The sequence below is a fragment of the Homo sapiens genome, chromosome 17 (assembly GCF_000001405.40).
Source record: "Homo sapiens chromosome 17, GRCh38.p14 Primary Assembly".
Classification (NCBI taxonomy): Eukaryota; Metazoa; Chordata; class Mammalia; order Primates; family Hominidae; genus Homo; species Homo sapiens.
In genome coordinates this window covers 17,006,572-17,027,165 of record NC_000017.11, presented here as the reverse complement: position 1 = coordinate 17,027,165, position 20,594 = coordinate 17,006,572, and the positions used below count along the sequence as shown (strand labels likewise).

The 20,594-nt window shown below is 53.0% G+C and overlaps 2 annotated features.

Annotated features, from left to right (window-relative positions):
* Positions 6,447-7,394: an enhancer, noted in NCBI's record as "H3K4me1 hESC enhancer chr17:16923086-16924033 (GRCh37/hg19 assembly coordinates)". NCBI's record gives its function as "activates a minimal SCP1, AML or CMV promoter by ChIP-STARR-seq in naive and primed H9 embryonic stem cells {active_cell/tissue: H9 hESC(naive and primed)}" and the evidence as "EXISTENCE:reporter gene assay evidence [ECO:0000049][PMID:30033119]".
* Positions 15,086-16,078: an enhancer, noted in NCBI's record as "H3K4me1 hESC enhancer chr17:16914402-16915394 (GRCh37/hg19 assembly coordinates)". NCBI's record gives its function as "activates a minimal SCP1, AML or CMV promoter by ChIP-STARR-seq in primed H9 embryonic stem cells {active_cell/tissue: H9 hESC(primed)}" and the evidence as "EXISTENCE:reporter gene assay evidence [ECO:0000049][PMID:30033119]".

The window sequence follows — 20,594 nt, the reverse complement described above, 5'->3', positions numbered from 1 at the left end:
AGCAGTGATGGCACCACTGCACTCCAGCCTTGGCAACAGAGTGAGACCCCATCTCAAAAAATAAAGAAATATATACATACATATATAAATAAATAAATGCTGGCTGGGTCCAGTGGCTCACGCCTGTAATCCCAGCACTTTGGGAGGCTGAGATGGGTGGATCACAAGGTCAGGAGTTCAAGACCAGCCTGGCCAACATGGTGAAACCCCCTTCTCTACTAAAAATACAAAAATTAGCTGGGCATGGTGGCACACCCCTGTAATCCCAGCTGCTCTGGAGGTTGAGGCAGGAGAATCGCTTGAACCTGGGAGGCGGAGGTTGCAGTAAGCCAAGATTGCGCCACTGTGCTCCAGCCTGGGAGACAGAGAGAGACTCTATCTCAAAAAAATTAATTAATTAAAAATAAATAAATAAATGTTATTGTGTATATTTAAGGTATAAAAGCTATATTATATATAAAGATAGTAAAAGTATAACTATAATGAAACAAATGAACAGATCCATCATCTGAGATATTAACAGTGAACCGTAGTTTTGCTTTTGTGGCAGGAGCAGCTAAAATCTACTTAACATGAATCCCATGCACTGTGCAACTTTCTTACCTGTGGTTCCCATGCTGTACATTAGATCTCTAGGCTTGTTTTGTTCTTTGTGTGTATTTGACTTGTTTTCTTTGATTCCACACATAATTTCCTCTTCTTTTTTTTTTTTTGAGACGGAGCCTCGTTCTGTGGCCCAGGTTTAGTGCAGTAGCGCAATCTCGGCTCTCGGCTCACTGCAACCTCCGTCTCCCTGGTTCAAGTGATTCTCATGTCTCAGCTTCCGAGTAGCTGGGACTACAGGTGTGTGCTGCCACACCTGGCTAAGTTTTGTACTTTTAGTAGAGATGGGGTTTCACCATGTTGGCCAGGCTGGTCTCAAATGCCTGACCTCAAGGGACCCTCCCACCTCGGCCTCCCAAAGTGCTGGGCTTACAGGTGTGAGCCACTGTGCCCGGCCTAATTTTTTTTAATGAATAAGAAATGCAGGCTCTGGAACCTGGCTTAAATCTCTGCTACTTTTGGCTGGGTGACCTTGGTTTCTCTGCTTCCGTTTCATCATGTGTATGTTTGGGGGTGATCCTACTACTGTAACAACAATGGATTATCCAGAGCAGAAATGAGGTGCCAAGCACCCAGCGCCGTGCCTGGCACATAGGAAGTGTCAATGAATTGGTACCAATGATTGATAGTGAGATTTACACCATGAGCCACGAGACATTTACCTACAAATATTAGCCAAGCACTGCGTGTGCCAGACCCTGGGCTGGGCTCTGGGTATAAAGCAGGAAACAGAACAGACCCAGCCCCTTTGCTCAGGGAGCTGACATTCTAGCGCCTTTGCTGTCAGCAACAGCTCACTGTGACTTGCCCACAGCTGCACAGCTAGAAGTGCTTCAGGGGACCCAAGCCTGACCCCTCTGTGGGGGAAGCATATGCTTTTGCTGCCTGTGCTTGGGGTATTCCTGAGGTCCTGACAGACAGTCCCTGCCCAGCCCAGGGATCCTGTGCCTGTCACCTCCAGAGAGGTGGGACAGAAATCCCGGGAGCTCAGAGCAATAAGGGCTGTGAGTTAGTGAGTGACACCCACTACTGGGCTCCAGGAGGGAGAGTACAGGGTGCTGTGCCTCTCTGCAGGGTCTCCAGGGGAGCCAGGCCCACAGCAAGGCCCCACTCACTAACATAGGTCACTTTGGCCTCCCTCCCTCAGGTCTACCTCCTCCCTCCTCTATTGGTGTTTCCTGGGACCATATGTCCCCCAAAACAACTTGTCCCCAACCCTATGTCAGAGCCTGCTTTTGAGGGTGCCCCTTAACAGAGCCAGCCATGGGCCATGTGGGGTGATATATCAGAGGGGGTGGGGATGCCCCTGGCCAGGGGTGTGGGCCCGGCTGCCCTCTGGGACAGCTAGACAGGAGCCCTGTTCTTTCTCAGGAAGGTTCTGCAGAGAGCAAGTGGTCTGGCTGTGGATTCAGTCAGCTCCTGGCTTTTGGAGATACTCCTGGCTGCTCTCCCAACCCTGAGTCCCTCGGGAGGCCATGGTCACCGAAGGGAGGGGGCTGGCTTTCAGCAGGACCATGTGGTTGGCCCTGACCCAAGGGAGAGGGGCCTACCCATGTGGGGCATGGGGGATGGAGTCAAGTACTTCCCAACAAGCCTGGCTGGAGCCCTGCTCGAGGAATGGGGTGCCTCAGGGTCTCCTGCTTCCCACCTGCCCTGACCTCTGGCACCAGGCTCTGTCCTTACTAATAGCCTCTGGACAGCAGGCGGAAGCCCAGAGCTGTGTGGCCTTCCCCGAGCTCTCCGAGGCCTGCCGTGGCTCCCCCTGCCCCTACAGTTTCTGCCTGTGCTTTGTACTTGGGATCTCGGGGGCTTCGTGGCACCAAGGGCCTACCAGGCTTTTCGGGAATTTAGCACTGGGGGCCACAGGGCATAGGGTAGGTAGGATCAGGCACCCAGGCGGGGAAAAGAGCCCTCTCGGACGGCCAGGAAGATGCTGCCAGCCTGGATCCCAATGTCGCGGACGCTCTCAGTTCATCCTTCTTGCCACGAATCCCCCAAATGGCATCAGTAGCCACAGCAACAGGAGCAATAATTATCTCTCTCTATGTGGAGATGGGCTCTTTACAGAGGTCATCAAGTTAAACTGACGTCAGTAGTGTGAGCCCTTATCCAGCATGACCCGTGCCCTCATAAAAAGGGGAAATTTGGGTCCGGGCATGGTGGCTCACGCCTGTAATCCCAGCACTTTGGGAGGCCAAGGCGAGCAGATCACAAGGTCAGGAGTTCCAGATCAGTCTGGCCAATATGGTGAAACCCCGTCTCTACTAAAAATACAAAAATTACCTGGGCGTGGTGGCGGGTGCCTGTAGTCCCAGCTACTCGGGAGGCTGAGGCAGGAGAATCACTTGAACCCGGGAGGCGGAGGTTGCAGTGAAGCCAAGATTGTGCCACTGCACTCCACCCTGGGCAACAGAGCAAGACTCCATCTCAAAGAAAAAAAAAAAAAGGTGGGGGGGAATTTGGACCCAGAGATGTGCATAGAGGGAAGACAAGGAGAAGAGACATGGGGGGAAGACAGCGCTACCGTGCCAAGGAGACAGTCCCAGAACAGAGCCTTCCTGCACAGCCCTCAGAAGGCCCTGTCCACAGACACCTTGATCTGGGACTTACAGCCCCCAGAACTCTGAGAAAATTGCTTGTTTTAGCCACCCAGTCCATGGTATTTTGCCACAGCAGCCCTAGTAGACTAATGCACATTTTTATTGCGATACAGTCCACTCGCCAGGCGTGGTGGCTCATGCCTGTAATCCCAGCACTTTGGGAGGTCAAGGCAGGTGGATCACTTGAAGTCAGGAGTTTGAGATCAGCCTGGCCAACATGGTGAAACCCTGTCTCTACTAAAAATACAAAATTAACTCGGGTGTGGTAGTGGGTGCCTATAGTCCCAGCTACTCAGGGGGCAGAGGTGAGAGAATCGCTTGAACCCAGGAGACAGAGGTTGCAGTGGGCCTAGATTGTAACATCGCACTCCAGCCTGGGTGACAGAGAGAGACTCCATCTTAAAAAAAAAAAAAAAAAGAGAGAGAGAGAGATACAATCCCCATGCCAGAAAATTCATTCATTTAAATTGTACAATTCAGTGATTTTTTATTCTAGTAAAATAGTTGTGCATCCATCACCATGACCTAAGTTTAAAAGATTTTCTTCACCCCAAAAGGAAGCCCTGTACCCACTAAGTGGTCACTCCCCATCCCCTCCCCGCAGCCCCTGGTAGACACTCGCCTGCTTTCTGTCTCCACGGATTTGCCTGAGCTGGACATTTCAATACATGGGATCAGACAATCTGCAGCATTTTGTGTCTGATTCCTTCACTCAGCATCATGTCTTCGAGGCTCATGCACACCATGGCAAGTCCACACATCATTCCTGTCTGCGACTGAATAACAGTCCATTGTACTGATGATCCGTTCATCAATTGCTGTGTCATACAATTTTGTTTTAAAAGGAGGATCTGAAGCATGGCAAATGTTCACATGTGTTAAATCCAAGTGGTGAGAACATGGATATTTGGTATTTTTCCTTATATTTTTCTGGATGTTTGAAAGGTTTTATAATTTTTATGTTAATAAATATCATTTCAAAATATGTATTGAAGGAGAAAGAGGAATCTCCAGGCGCAGAAGGGAGGGGAGTTGTTGACATGCTAAAGAAAAAGATGGGTCTGGTATTAGGAAAACAGCAAAGGATTCCTGAACCTTCTTTCTTGACTTCCTGTTCCGAGTGTCACAGGGACAGGGATGTTACTTAGCAGCCTCAGCCTATGAGCCCCACAAGGGTGGGGACCAGTCTGTGGTATTCTCAGCTCCCTTCCCAGCAGGGCCTGGCCCAGAGGCAGTGCTCAGGGAAGGTGTGGGATATTCCCTGAGAGTGGGAAGGGGCCACCAGGCTGCTGGGTTGGACCTGGCTCCCCAGCCACTGCAGCCTTCCCCTCTCCCAGCCAGCAGGCTCAGCTCCAGCCCCAGCCCCACTTCAGTAACCGCCACGCGCATTGATGGGGAACTCACTGCCTTAGGAGGTGGTCACCCCACTGCTGACCACCAGGGAGGGGCGCCCATAGCCCCTTCTACTTGAGAGATAGTCCAGTGGCAAGCCCAAGGTGAAAGGCTCAGAGGACAGATGTGTCTGGGGACATGGAGTGGTCTCACCTGTCGCCACTGACCCTGTGCCTGGTACTGGTCCTGGGCTTTCCTTGTGTTTCATTCTCCCAACAGCTGCAAGAGAAGGACTCTAATGATCCCATGGAAAGATGGGCTCCAAGGGGCACAGTGCTGGCCAGATGTCCCATGGCCAGGACCCGAGCTCATTCTGCACACCATGCCCTCCTTATTAACTCATCACACCCAGCAGCAGACCCAAGGCCCTGGGACTGAGACCTGCCTCTGCCCAGGGACTCCCAAGCTCACCTGGTCATCAAGCCTCCACTGCCCTAGCCCGGGGTGGGTTGCCTGCATGGCACCCCGGGCAAGGAAGATCTGGGCCTACCGGATGAGCTAGGTCTGTCAGCCCTTTTGTTTATAGAAGCTTTTGGGGGGCCTTGTGGCCAGGTGTTGAAACAAAGGTGTCTGTGTCTCCATAAGTCCATTTGGATTTCATCCTACTTGCGTAGGATGAAAAATCTACATTTTTCACCCAAGATGATGCCTTATCTGGCAAACACTGTGCCGTGATGGGTTTATAGGCGCTGTGGCTGAAAGGCAACCCTAGCCCTAAAGGAGAGGCTGTTTCAGATTCCCCTGTGAGCTGGAAGTGGTGGGAGGAGAGCAGGCTTCCTTATCCCAGTGTCATGACCAGGCCAGGCCAGCCCTGCACCCTCTTCACCAAGGTCCTGCCTAGCTCTGCTCCGGGGCAGGCTGAGCTGGGAAACAAGTCAGTAAGTCCATAGTACAGCTGGGGGCCCCTCCTTCAGTGAAAAGGCACAATCGTGCTTCTCAGGAACCAGCTTCAGATGGAGCCCAGAGGGGTGGGAGGGAGGGGACTGGTCTCCCCTCCTACCACACTGGCATTCTTTCCTCAAAACCTTGCAAAATATGACTGTGCGGCTCCCTGCTGTGGCACGGCACTTGTGGCATCATCGAAATGCCAGTAGGGGCTGGCACCGGGCTGCCCACGGCCCCAGCAGGCACTGTCCCCGCTCCCCTGGGCTATGAGGAGCTAAGCGGGTGGGCCCCTCCCACTTCGTCTGAGGCCCAAGAATGCTGTCATCTGGCCACCCACAGCTTTATCAGTGTGGCCTTTCTCAGGATTGCTGGGACAAAGGGCGTGGGTGTTTTCAGGACTCCGGCGGATTCTGGGAATGTCTCTGCCTTCCCAAATCGCCAGTTCCCGGAGGAGGACAGGACCCTCACCCACCTCCTCACTAAAGGAGAAACTGAGGCCCAGAGCAGGGTAGGGACTTGTCTGAGGTCATGCCTGCTTTGTTGGTGAGAATCGGACCTTACTTACCATTTCTGGGTCACAGGCTCCTTTGACAATGTGAAGGAAATTCTAGACCCATTACTCCAATGCCCAAGGGCCAGGCCTGCGGTGTTGATGGCTGGCATGGTCTGCTCGGCATGGGATTTGTCTGGAGCCCATGTCCCCCACCTCTGGCTCACTGTGGCCCTGCAGGGCACCCGGTCGTCCAGTGTTTCAGAGGAGCCAAAGAGCCATCTTTCTGTGTGAAAGCTACTCATGTTCAAATGTTGGCAATGCATTAAAAATGTAAAACTAGACCGGGCACGGTGGCTCACGCCTGTAATCCCAGCACTTTGGGAGGCCAAGGCAGGCGTATTACGAGGTCAGCAGATCGAGACCATCCTGGTTAACATGGTGAGACCCTGTCTCTACTAACAATACAAAAAAATTAGCCGGGTGTGGTGGCGGGTGCCTGTAGTCCCAGCTACTCGGGAGGCTGAGGCAGGAGAATGGCGTGAACCTGGGAGGCGGAGCTTGTAGTGAGCTGAGATGGCGCCACTGCACTCCAGCCTGGGCAACAGAGTGAGACTCCGTCTCAAAAAAAAAAAAAAAAAAAAGGTAAAACTATATATTATGTCAGCCCAATTAAACATCTGTGGGCCAGATGCGGGCTGAGGACCACCAGAATGGGACCCTTGCTCTCGATCCTCTTCCTGTGAAAAAGCGCACACCATAGCATGGGCCTGGGAAGCTCATCACCCAGGCAAGAGGCCTGTCACCTGAAGCTGGTGGCCATGCGGTTTCCGTGACAGGCACTGGTGGAGTTGACAGAGTTCTGGACAAGGAGTCGCAGGCTGGCCGTCAGGCTGGCTTGCCCAGACTTGCCATGAGGAACTCCACAAGCATCTCTTTCCAGTTGAAGAGCCTGGAGCCCAGAGTGGCCGAACAAGCTGGCCAGGCCCCCCGCCGAAGGAGTCAGGGAGCTGGGAGGAGGTGAGGTCAGAGCGGAGGTGGCTCATCACTCCGGGCCGTGGCTTGAGGAAGCAGAAGAGGGTGGGATCCAACTTTGTTCCTGCACTTGGCCCTTAATTTGTTGAAGCTCAGTGGTCAGTTCACATCGGGGGTCAGAGTGACTCTGGGGTGCGAGATGACTAAGTACCCACAGGGCCCAGGCTGGGGACACAGCCTTCCCAAGGAGTCAGACACAGCCAATTCTCACTCCTGGACAGGGAGGTGAGCACAACATACCAATAACAAGCTCTGGGGACCCTGGATAGGGGGCTGGGCCGCCTGGCCTTTCGCCTGCTGCCCAGTTGTGTGTGAGAGGCAGTAATCACCTCCCTGGTTCAATTTCCTTCTCCCTTCCCACCCAAAGTTTCTTACCTGACAGATTGGGGGCAGTGTGGGGTGGTGAGAAGAGAGCAGTCTGGGACCAGGTGCACCTGTCTAGGTACAATTCTGGGCCAAGGGACCTTGGGCCATTCCCTTCCCTTCTCTGAACCTGTTTCCTGAAGTGTTAAGTGAAAAGGGGCAGTGGAGAGTGGGGCACGAGGTCACCAATGGAAAGCCACGTCTGGGCCACTTCACGCCCTCTCCCCTTCCCAGGTGCCCTGCAGTGAAAATGGTCACATCCCAGCTGTCGCTCTCCCTTCCTGTGGTCCAGATCCCAAGTCCTGACTGCAGAGTCTGCTAAAAACACAAATCGAGTCTGGCCACCTTCCACCTCACCCTCTCCTCTTGGCTCCTCCATGCCCCCAGAACCACACTTGGTTGCCCCCATGGCTTCCTGGCCCTGAGGCCTGCTCCCCACCCCCGCTGCCATGTCCTTTCTCCCCACTGCCAGCCTCTGTTCAGGACCTCAAAATCCTCATTCTTTCCTGCCTCGGGACCTTTGCACTCACCATGCCCCAACCCAAGCTAGTCTTTGTAGTCCGCCCCCTCCAAGCCACCTTCCCCACTCCCCCAAAACAACCTCCTCTGTCCTTGGCCCTCAGAGCTGCCCATGGAGCTGCCACCATCCCCCTGCCTTGAGTTCCCATCTCCCTGTGTGCCCACTTGGTTCTCATCTGCCCCCTGCCCCACCAGGATGGAAGATCCATCAGATTAGGCAGCAGACCCCTCCTGCCCGTCCCATGTCCCCAGCTGAACTGGAATGTTCAGCAACCATGAATGAATTCTGGAATCTATATTGGGCCTTAGACAGGCCAAACACTCTGTCCTGGGCTGTGGCCCTGGGCAAGTCTGGTGTGAGCCCTGTCTAGGGAGGGGCCCTGGAGGGGGAAAGCTGCCTGATGGTCCTCGCCTGAGGACACCTGCCCCTGAGCGTGGATATGGGCCCTGAAGCTCTGTACCCGGCCAGACAGGTTCGACAGGATTGCTGTGGACAGAACTCACTCAGCCTCTGTTCAGAACAGCGTGTCCCTCACCTGCGGGAGGTCTGAGGGCTCCTGGCCCAGGAGGTCTGGCTGAGCCTCTCTCTCCCTGGCCTGGGGACTCTTCCTCAGCCTCCCTGGCCTTCAGGGCCCACCTCACCATCCTCCAACAACACCTACCAGGAGTCTGCGATGCACAGGGGCTCTGCCTGGAGTTGGGGGTTCAGCGGTGAGCAGGAAGGATGGATCCCAACCTTTTGTGGGAGTCATAGTTCAGGAACATCAGGTGACATCGAGTGGCTAGGGCCTGAGAGTGGGGATACATGTATGTCTCTGGGAAGAGCCCTGGCTATGGTGGGCTCCCCCGACCTGAGAGGAGGATCTGAGCGTATGTGGAGGGGTCCAGAAAACACCAGTTGCTGAGTCAGGAAATGAGGCAGGAAGTGAGGCAGGCAAGAGAAAGAGCCGAGGCAGGCTGTGCCAGGGAGCACTCTGGGCACCTGAACCTCCATCCCTGGGGGAGGATCCCTTCCTGGCGGGGTGGAGGGGGTGACAGGGAGCGCTGTGGGCACATGGAGCTCCCTCCCTGGGGGAGCAGAACATACCTCAGAGGCTCCCCAGCCCGGCCAGCCAGCTGGGGTGTTGAACCCAACTCTCACGGGCATTGGCTGCCAGCAGTTCTGGGTTGATGGTGATGGAGCTGGTTCTGCGGTTCCCCGTGGGGTGCAATGTGTCGCAGAGAAAGCCCCAGGCAGCCAGAAGCACGGCCCATATCCTTGTGGCCGGGCCTGGGGTGTGGGTACTGGGAAAGCTTCTGCCACAATCTCTAAGGCCCTTTTCATGGCCATGGAAGGAGTGCTCACTCCCACATAGTCACATCTCTCACCCAGTGCCACGGCCTGCCTGCTAGAAACACCATGGCCACCACAGTGTTCCCAGGTACACTCAGAATAAAAGCCTGTCAGACCAACGAGCAGGATCCCACCTGTGTCCAAGCCATCCTGCCTGACTGCTTTGGCTCACTCTCTCTGTCCCAGCCAGTCTGGAGCCACACTTTATTGCAGCGCTTCGGCTCCTTCCAACTGCACGGCCTTCCCTGGGCCACTTCCCCTGCCTAGAAGGCTCTTTGCCCATTGTTTCCATTTCTGCCAGGTCTTGGTTACATGGTCTTGGTTGGAGGATGGTCTCTCTGATCGACACCCCTGCCCGTGGGACCCTCTCCCTGTGGCCTCCATGCTCAAAATGCTCATTCTCACCTGCCTCAGGGCCTTTGCACTTGCCATGCCCCAACCCAAGCTAGTCTTTCCAGGCCATCTTCTCCAAGCCACCTCCCCACTTCCCCAAACAGGCTCCTCTGTCCTTGGCCTACAGGGCAGCTATGGTTGCCTTTGCATGTGGAGTTGGTGCTCACTATGGCACAGCCCTGCCTGTAAGCTGGGGAATCCAGCCATTGAGGAGTGCTTGCCAAGAGAAAGAACGAACCCTCAACAGTGATTCAGAAAGGGTCTCCTGGACCCACATGTGTCCCCCAACACAGTGTGTGACCTGGGACAGCTCCCCCTCTGCACCGCATCTCCTCTGTCCACTGTGGTGATTGGTCCCCAAAATCCCCAAGGGCCCTGCTGGCCCTGGCCTTTGAAGCTCTGGGACACAATTATCAAGGGAGACCCACTACCTACACTCCCAGAGCTGAGAGCCCAAACAAGCTCTTAAATCAATCAGCGACATCACCTTCCAAGTGAAGAAAACAGGACCTCTGGCCTAGACATGAGGACAGGGCGGAGGAGGCTGCAAACGCCCCTGAGCGAGCTGGCTAGGAAGGGTCACTAGTTGCCTGGACCTGGAAGTTGAGGGACCCACAGAGAAAAGCAGGGAATCTCAGCTGGAAGATGGGGACGACATCAACTCAGACCCTCAGACTCAACCTGGTAAGGGAGAGTGGATACATCAAGACTCCTCACACCATTGAAATCAGCTCTGGCTAAGTCTAGCCAAGGCAAAGCAAGCAAGGAATGTGCTGGGAGGTTATAGGTTAGCTCACAAAACCAAAAGAAGAAGTAAAAAACCACATCCTGGAAAGGACTGGTTTGGATATGAGTTTTAGGTAGCCGAACGGGAAGCCCTTGGATGAATGAATTCTCTCTGCTTTCATCCTCAAGTCACTCTACTCAAGATCCAAATTTCCTTAATATATAAAGAGCTCCTAACAATCAATAAGACAAATAAAACTTCAATAGAAAAAACTTCCACAAGTATGGACATGAACAGATAGTTCACAGAACAGGAAGTAGAAATGGTCCTGGAGCTTATAAACAATGTTTAGCCTTATTTATAATCAGAGAAGTGCAAATGGAAACTAGAGTTCAAGACTATTTTTCAACTATCAGATTGGCAATCATCCAAAACTGTGATAACACTGTGTCACCGTGGGTGTGGGAGACAAGCTCTCTCACACATTACTGGTGGGAGTATAAACTGGTAAGGCCACTATCAACATTTTTTTTAATGCACATGCCTTTTGATCTGAAAACTTACTCCTAGAAATGTACAGGGACACTTGCAAATGTGCTGATGGCCCTAGTACAAGGATATTTATTGTGGCATGTTTTTCTTGTAATAGCAAGATTGGAAACAATCTAAATACCCATCAATAGAGGTTGGTGAGCTCCATAATAACGTAGCCACTCAGTGAACTCTGCAACTGTGAAAAAGAAGAATGAGGTAGCTTTACATACTGCAGCCTGGAATGATCTTCCAGATAGACTATCCCATGAAAAAGCATGGTGCATGCATATTTGTGAAAGCCTCCATTTCTGGTCTCTGAATTCAGAACGCTCACTTTTGTCTTGTGTGGCTACTGTCCACTCTCCACCAGCAGGTCACAGAAGCGTGACCCCTCGCACCTTCACATGCACCCCCTTCCTGGCCTGAATGGCCTTGGTTTCCAACTGTCCACACCTATGACTCTTTGCAGCGAGACTGTCATCAGGCTATTGGAGCCTCTTAGTCCTTTCTGCAGAGAGCTGGAAGTGTCCCCCTGCCGCAGGATGGCCCTTCACTAATGACTGACATGTGTATCCTTAGCTCAGGCTGGGAAACAGAGATGTGACTCCACTCCACAGTCCCCCGAGGGACCTGCTTCTGTAGGATTTTGCCTGGGGCCACAGACTTGCATGGCTTTTCCCCTCTCTGTCTGCTACCCCCGTTCCCTTACTGCTCTCCTTGGGTGCCGTCCTTCATCAGTCACTGCCATAACAAATCAGGGTCTGCTTCTGGGGAACATGATCAAGATAGCTGCCCCCTTACCCTGCTCCTTGCTTTTTTGCAGGTAGGATGTGCCTGCATATGCAAGTGTATGATGCAATGTGGGCACCGTGGTTCTTCCCGTTTCACAGGTGAGGGACCTAGAGCTACACGGCTCGCCTTAGGTCCCAGGTAGGAAGTGGCAAGCAGCTTTGAAGCCAGGTAGTCTGGCTCCAAGAACAAACTCACATCCACTGAAAATATTGAAAATAGCCTAGAGAAGGTAAGCTCCAAGTAAAAGGAAAATCTGCATTGTCAAAGCAGGCCAAGCATGGAAGAACGCTCATTTATTTTCCCAAAAGATTATTTTCTGTGGTCTTCCCTTCATAAACACACATCCCACTCTCAGATGCAAATCCTAGAGCTAGAAATGGGGCATTCAAGGTAGACAGAGCTCCTGGGAACAGCACGTTTGCAGAGATGGGAAGGGAACCTCCCACTGGTTTTGGTTTCTCCATGGCTACAGGCAAAGCCTGCCTGCTCTGCATCCGGGGATCTTGGTCAGGTGTTGGAATCGGTGGGTGGATTGCCAGTACATTTGCACCGTGTCCTAGAGAGCCTCTATGCATTTCAACTCTGATTCTCCTTCACCATCTACGCGCAGCCCACAACCGCAGGACCCCACCCCTGGCTCTGAATCTCCCATGTCCTGGCGCCAAGCAGGTGAGTCAGCCTAGGAGGAGGAAGGGCTTCCGGAAGCCAAGCCCATGCTGGGGTGGTGAGAAACAACTTTCCTATGCAAGGAGGTGCCTGAGCACCCCCTGATGATCAAGCTGGAGCCCCCTCACCTCCCCGAAGTGTGCTGGAGGAAAGGCCAGAAAGAGGCAGCAGTCTTCACCCACTGAGGCTGAGTTTCTCACTCATGCCAAGTTTTACATAAGCTGGGGACCATGTGCTTCAAGGCTAGAGGTCTTGGTGGGCCCAGGGCCTTGGAGGGGCCTGGATGACCAAGGGGTCCGTGGCTTAGGCCCTGGCTCTGCATGGGGAATCTTGGGAAGGTTGGAAGCCCACAGCCCCTACTGAGAAAGGAGCCACGGGCCAGATCTTTTGCACAAATCCTGCCTGTGCTCCTTGACTGTCTCTCCCCACCGGGGTCACGGTGACCAAGCAGGCAGGAGACTCCATCCGTTCACAGGACTAGCATCCTGGGAGGGCCCTGGCCTGAGCGAGCTGCTGCAGGGGACCCTCATGCTGGATGGTTGGCCACTCAGCACCCTTTTCTCTGTGGAGCAGGGATGACATTTGAGAGCCACCAAAGATGGGCAGGAAAAACAAAGGCCACCACAGAGGAAGCTGAAGGCAGAAAGAGATGCAGAGAAAGTGGGAGAAACTCGGCTGTGCTTTGTGGGGGCCCTGCAGGGACATCAGCTCCTGAAGGGGTGAAAGAAAGGGTCCCCTGAACTTTGACACTGTTCTTCTCGAGGCCTGGCCAGCCCTGTGGCTCCTTAGAGGAATCTGGGTGCCTGCTGTCCCTAGTACCTGACAAGCCCCAGGTGAGAAGACCTGAGTTCACCTGCGCTGCCACGTGTAACCTGATGGCCCCGGCACCCTCGCAGGGTTTGAATAGCTGCCCTTTCCACCTGTTTCCCGGATTTTCCACACCACCCAGAGGCTCATATTCAACCCCACAGCCTACAAGTCAGCCAGGGGCCTTTGGCCACATGTACTGATGATGAGAATCACTGGATTGTAAGCTGTAAAAGCACAAGGATGGTGTTTTGTTCCCCGCTACCCCCTGCACCTGAGGCCCAGCGAGGATTGCTGCTCGGATGAAGGAGAGCGAGTGTTCGTGGAGCTCTTTGCAGAAGCCACGGGAAGCCCTTCCTGTGCCTTCTCAGGTTTAGTCTCAGACAGCCCCACTTTCCAGATGAGGAAACAGAGGCTAAGAAAGGAGAATAAACTTGTCCAGAATCAGTGGTGAAGCTGGGATTTGAACCCCATCCTGTTGGACTCAACACTTCCTCTGAAAAGACAGGATAAGGGAGCTGCCTACTTCTGGCTTTGGGAACCGGCAGAGAGGAGCAGAGTTGGGCCAGACGCGTCACCTCCCAAGCTCTGCGGCACCCAAGGGTTCCCAGGGTCCTCTTCCTCCATTTGGCTCTTTTCTTCTCTGGACTCTCCCACCTTCGAGGATTGGACTCCTTGCAGGGAGAGCAAAGCAGAGAACAGAGGAGGCCCATCTGAGGAGAGAGTGCTGGAGCAGATGGAGCACAGAGAGAGCCCCCAAACCTTAGCCTCACCTGGAGAGTGGCTCCCTGCAAGCTGAGCCCCTGTGTGCCCAGAAGTGACATAGGCATTCAGGAAAGGGACTGAGGGAGGAAAGAAGGAGCCATTCCTCTTCCCAGGGGCGCCTGCCCTGGGTTCCTGAGGGACGCTCCATGTTTACATCTCCAAAGCCCAGTCCCAAACACGCCAGAGTGCAATGCCCTCCCTCAGACCCAGGGCCATCCTCAGAGCAGCCGGGAGGCAGCCTGTCCACCCTTACCACAGGCAGGTCGCCCAGGCAGCCTCCTCTTAGAGCTCCTGAATTCTGGAGCATGAAATAGAAATGTGAAAAACAGGCTGGCGTGGTGGCTCACACCTGTAATCCCAGCACTTTGGGAGGCTGAGGTGGGCAGATCATTTGAGATCAGGAGTTTGAGACCAACCTGGCCAACACAGTGAGACCCTGTCTCTACTAAAATACAAGTAAATAAGCCAGGCATGGTGGTCCACACCTGCAGTCCCAGTTACCTGGGAGGCTGAGGCAGGAGAATCATTTGCATCCAGGAGATGGAAGTTGCTGTGAGCTGAGATCGCACCGCTGCACTCCAGCCTGGGCAACAGAGTGAGACTCTGTCAAAAAAAAAAAAAAGAATGAGAGAGAAAATAAATACTACAAAATGTTAACAATGGGTGAATGTAGGTGAAGAGTATGTGGCAGGGTGTTTTTTATTCTCGCAAATTTTGTGTAGGTTTGAAGTTACCACAGAATAGCAAATATAAGAATGATTCCTGCAGACACACGAGTGATTTCAACTGTTCACAGGGCTCAGGCAGGAAGCAGATCTCTTGCCCTCCCTCTGATCCAGGTCACTTAGTCCAGTCCCTGAAAGCAGTGGATGGACAACCATGCCACCCTCTTTCTTCCAATACACCTTATTTTGTATCCTGCCCTTTTTGTGTAGCATTAGATCATGAGCATTTTCCTCTGCTATAAATGTCCCCTCAAATATGTTGTTTCTTGTGACTCCCTAGTGTTCTACCCACGATTTCCTCGGCTGCTCCACCTTGGTGGAATTCAGTGATTCTTCTGCCTTTTCACCATTGTAAGTGATGCTTTGATGAAAAGCTTTGTAGGTTTATCTGTGCTGCACCTCTGACCAGTCTTTTCTGGAAGACTCTAAGGAAGGAGACAGGGGCATGGACCACTGGCTTTTGAAGGCATTCGGTGGGTCCTGCCATGCCGCCTTCCCACATTCCAGAAGGGTGGTCCCAGTGAACAACCCACCAGCACGGGGCCCCGCTCCATGGTGCCCCAGCAAGGCCAGCGTCCCTATACAGGAAAATTAAACCATTTGCCAATTCAAGGCACTCCAGATGGATCTCTCTGTTTTCTTTGATGACTGATGTGTCCTTTTTTGTTTCCTTCAGAGCACTAAGACTGTGCATTTTCCCAGGACTGTCAGGGTGGTTTTCTTACCAATGTGTGGTGGTTGTGAGGGTTCAATTGAGTCGATGCCTGCAAAGTGCTGGCCCAGCACAGGAAAAGCACCCAGTGCTTGCTGGCTGTTTGCTGTGCCACAGCCCAGGTCACAGGCTGGGTCAGCTGCTCACTGGCAGTGCCACTGTAGCCAGGCTGCTCACCTCACTGAGCCTCAGTTTCCTTCTCTGTGAAAGGGGAGCACCTTCCTCACAGGGCTGTGGTGGAGTGAAGGCAGGTAAAGCACTTAGGAGGGCGCCCTCCCATGCTTGGCACTCTGCAAATGCTACTGGGATTTGCACAGGAAGGAAATTGACCCTTTGTCCTATTTATTACCCATAGTTTCCTTCCGGAATCCGAAAGTGGAGTGTGGTGTGGCTGGCAGAGCAGGCTGCCCAAGGGAGCCAGGAGAGGGGAGGACGGAAGGGGTGGGAGCCGTCTTCTCCAAGGCTGCTGTAATGCTGACCTAGAGAAGACCCCCAGAGTGGGGCATGTCCCACACTCAGCTGGCCCTGCTCCTGCCACCAGGCCTGGCACACATCGGATGCTCCCTGAGTCATGTCGAGGAAGGAATGTCTAACACTTGAAAATATTCTAGAGCCATAAAGATAGTCCTGGTTGGACCCAGACCAAACCTCAAATTGGTCCCAAGGAAGATTTCACAACTTCCTTTGAGAGATGCCTCTCAGTGTCGCCTGGCGCGATTCAGGAAGTCCTTCTTGAGAGCTAACCTAAATCCTTCCTGCTCGCCCTCCTCATGCTTGGGAGAGGAGGCAGCAAGGAGGGGGGGACAGGTGGGCCTCTCGCCTCAGAGCCCATATGAGGTCCCGAGAAGGTGAGGCTGGGCCCTGACTCAGCTTCAGCACACACTATTTCCATTCCCTTCCCGTGACTCAACAGGGGAGGGGCCCGGGGGCCACTCACCTCTGTCTTCTCAACCTGCAACTCCCCCCACCCCTTCCTGGATTCCTGTGACGCAGGAATCCCTCTGGTCTGTGTGGAGGAACCCAGAGCAACTTGAGCCAGAAGTGGATGTCCAAGCCGGCATGAGTCACCCCTCAAAATCAGGACCAGTGAGGGCCTGAAGAGGCCACACAGCCTCCGGCAGCCTGGCCGCCGCTCACTTCTCTGGGAAAGTGGCCTGGAGCTCGCATGGCATCTGGGCCCAGCCTCTGCCTCTGACCTGCACTGACCCCTGTGTCACCCGCCTCCAGGGTGACCCTCCTCCTGGCATTCAGACAGCTCCACTCACTGCTTCGCACAAACCTGTGCCACCCTGGTTCAAACATTAACCAGCTGTGTGACTTTTTAGAAGCCCTTCCCATGTTTAAAAACCAAGCTGGGAGGATGCTGCACCACTGCCATCATGGTTCTCACTGAACCGTCGCAGGAAAAAGCATTTCTTGCGCCATGGCTGTGTGCAGAACAGGCTTCCCACGGCTGAGTCCCCAAGCCCCCCACAGACGCTGCCAATGAAATGCCGTCAGCCTCAAGCATGGTTCTTGGTACCCAGCCCTGGTAAAACCACGTGTCTCAGGCCTTCTGAACCACAGTGCCCAGAACTCTGGCTGGGCTTTGTCCCAGAGGACAAGACTGGCCAACCCCCTGCTGAGCTGGAAGAATAGCTCCCTCAGCTGGCAGGGACCTGCCCCTGTTGCAATTTGGACTGAGTAAATGCTGACAGGAGGAGACTGCGTGTCAGGCCAGGATAGACAGAGGCAAACTCTGTACCCTCAGAGAGCTTAGAAGCTAGGGTTGGAAAGCATGGGAAAGGGTCAGACACCCAAGAGAAACAAGTGCTGATGTCCACCAAAAGAAAACTTACTGCATTCTATAAACTAAAAACAAACAAATGTTCTCCTGCATTGCATAGCAGAGGAAAAGACCAAATGACTCTTCCATGCAACAAGTTAGATGAATCTCGCAGATAAAGTCAGACAAAAGAATCCAGACGCAAAAGAGCATGCACAGTATGGAGGTCAAAAACAGGCAAGGTTGGGTGCGGTGGCTCACGCCTGTAGTCCCAACACTTTGGGAGGCTGAGGCAGGTGGATTACGAGGTCAGGAGATCGAGACCATCCTGGCTAACACAGTGAAACCCCTTCTCTACTAAATATACAAAAAATTAGCCGGGCGGGGCGGCGGGCGCCTGTAGTCCCAGCTACTCACGCGCTGAGGCAGGAGAATGGCGTGAACCCGGGAGGCAGAGCTTGCAGTGAGCCGAGATGGTGCCACGGCACTCCAGCCTGTGTGACAGAGCGAGACTCCGTCTCAAAAAAAAAAAACAAAAAAAAAACAGGCAAAAGTCATCTATGGAGACAGAAGTCCTGGTGGTGGTTTCTTGGTGGGGCTGGTGGAGGATGGGGTTATTGACGGGAAGGAGGCACCAGGGAGCTTTCTGGGGTCCTGGAAATGTTCCATGTCTTCATCTGGGGTGTGATGACGGGGTGGACACATTTGTTAAAAGGCATTGATTTGCACACCAACATTTGTGTACTTTGCTGTAAATTTTCCCACACTTTAAGAAGAAGAGGAGGGAAGAAGAACCCTTGGGGAGACCAGCTGGGACCCCCTGCTGCTGACTCGCGGGCGTTGCTTCGTGCCCCATGATTGTCAAGCCATTGAGGCCTCCTGGCAGCCTGGTAGACCTAGAACTATCTATGCCAATAAGACACAGATTGTTGGCTCCACCACCAGTTTCTGAATCAGGAGGTCTAGGGGGGCCTTGGAATTCACATTTCCTGCAGCCTGCAGGCCATGCTGGGGCTCTGGCCCAGGAACTGTGCTTTAGAAGAGACGGTAGAACATGGTACTGGCTACAGAATGTGCTGTGAGATCCCTCCAAGCTGGGAAGGACCCAGGTAAGTTCACAGAGGAGGTGCCCTTGAAAGATCAGTAAGATCTGAAAACGCCCAAATAAGCAGGAACTGCTGGTTCCAGGGAGGGAAGTCAGTGTGAGGCAAAGTAGAGAGGCTGGGAAGTGCAGCGAACGGCATTCCAGCCCTCAGGAGGGCAGGGCTGGCAGACAGATGTCTGAGTCCATTTCGTGCTGCTATAACAGAATACCTGAGACTGGGTCATTTATAATAATCAGACATTTATGTGGCTCATAATTCTGGAGGCTGGGAAGCCCAAGGGCATGGTGCTGGCCTGAGCCCAGCATTTGGTGAGGGCCTTCTTGCTGCCTCATCCCATGGTGGAAATCAGGAGGGTAAGAGACCAAACTCACAGTCTCAAGGCCTTTTATAATCAGCATTAACCCATGCGTGACGGTGGGCACCTTATAACCTAAACACCTCCTATTAGGCCCCAGCTCCCAATACCATTGCACCGGGGATTAAGTGTTGAATACACGCCTTTTGGGGGACACATGCAACCCACAGAAAGAGGACATTGAGGCTTCTGCTTAGAAGGTTTTGTTCTGCATGATAAAGCTTGAAAATAGGAGGAAGCTCCAGAAAAATGGCCCTCCCCCACCCCTACCAGGGGATTATGTTCCAAAGTCAGAAAGTGAGGCACAAACCACATGTGGTCATTTACCTGTGACAACCTGTGATTGGCCTATGAAGGTAGATAGCCTAGCTCAGTGCTAAAGGGCCGGAGCAGATGCTGAGTTCACTGGCTGAGTGCCAGGTAAAGCCATCCGTGTGCACTGAGTGCTCATATTGGATGACAAACCTGGACAAAGAGCCCTCCAGCCCTTCCCTGTAACAAGCAGGAGCCGGGGCAGAAGGGCAGAGGTGCAGCACAGCTGGGTCTAATGTGGGGAGCAATGTGGGGCAGGGGCAGGGCCAGGGCCAGGAAAGGGGCCTGCAGCTGTTGGTAGGCTAGCGGGTAAACAAACCCATTACAGTGGAGGTGTGCTGCTGACCGCCTTTCCTACAAGCTCATGGGCCGCCTTCACAGCACTTCCCCTGCTGCTTTTTCAGTGTAATCTTACAGCTATTCTGTCAAGACACCATGTTAAACACTAGTGGAAAAGTCACTGTGCAGAATTACCATATAATCTAGTAATTCCGCTTTTGGGTATATACCAAAAAATACCCCAAAAATAATTGAGATCAGGGTCTCCAACAGATGTTTGTTCACCCATGTTTATAGCAGCATTCTTTTTTTTTTGAGACGGAGTCTCACTCTGTTGCCTAGGCTGGAGCGCAGTGGCGTGATCTCAGCTCACTATAGCAGCATTCTTTACAACAACGAAAAGGTGGAAGCCACCCAAATGACCATCGATAAACAAAAATGTGGTCTGTGCGTACAATGAAATATTATTCAGTCTTACAAAGGAAGGAAATTCTGGCACATGCTACAATATGGAAGAACGTGAGGGCGTAATATTCCGTGAAAAGACAAACTCTATATGATTCCACTTATACGAGCTAAGGGAAGGGGAATGGGGAGTTACTGTTTACTGTTCATTGGAGACAGTTTCAATTTGAGGAAGATGAAAAAGTTCTTTTTTTTTTTTTTTAAGAGACGGAGTCTCGCTCTGTCGCCCAGGCTAGAGTGCAGTGGCCCTATCTCGGCTCACTGCAAGCTCCGCCTCCTGGGTTCACGCCATTCTCCTGCCTCAGCGTCTGAGTAGCTGGGACTACAGGCGCCCGCCACCACGCCCGCCTAATTTTTTGTATTTTTAGCAGAGACGGGGTTTCACCGTGTTAGCCAGGATGGCCTCGATCTCCTGACCTTGTGATCTGCCCACCTTGGCCTCCCAAAGCATTGAGATTACAGGCGTGAGCCACCGCACCCGGCGAAAAAGTTCTTGAGATGGACGATGGTAATGGTTGCACAACAATGAGACTGTGCTTAGTGCCACTGAACTGTGCATTTCACGATGGTCAAGATGGTAAGTTTTATGTGGACAAAAAGAACACGCTATGTGTGGAGGGGTGCAGTGGCTGGAACCCCAGCACTTTGGGAGGCTGAGACAGGCGGATTACTTGAGGTCAGGAGTTCGAGAGCAGTCTGGCCAATGTGGTGAAACCCCGTCTCTACTAAAAATACAAAAATTAGCCAGGCGTGGTGGCGCACGCCTGTAATACCAGCTACTTGGGAGGCTGAGGTGGGAGAATTGCTTCAACCTGGGAGGTGGAGGTTGCAGTGAGCCGAGATTGTGCCATTGCAGTCCAGCCTGGGCGAAGAGTGAGACTCCGCCTCAGGAAAAAAAAAAAAAAAAAAAAAGAACATGCTATGTTTGTATTTAGGATCTAGGTTTAGCTACGTCTAACAACAGTGGCTTT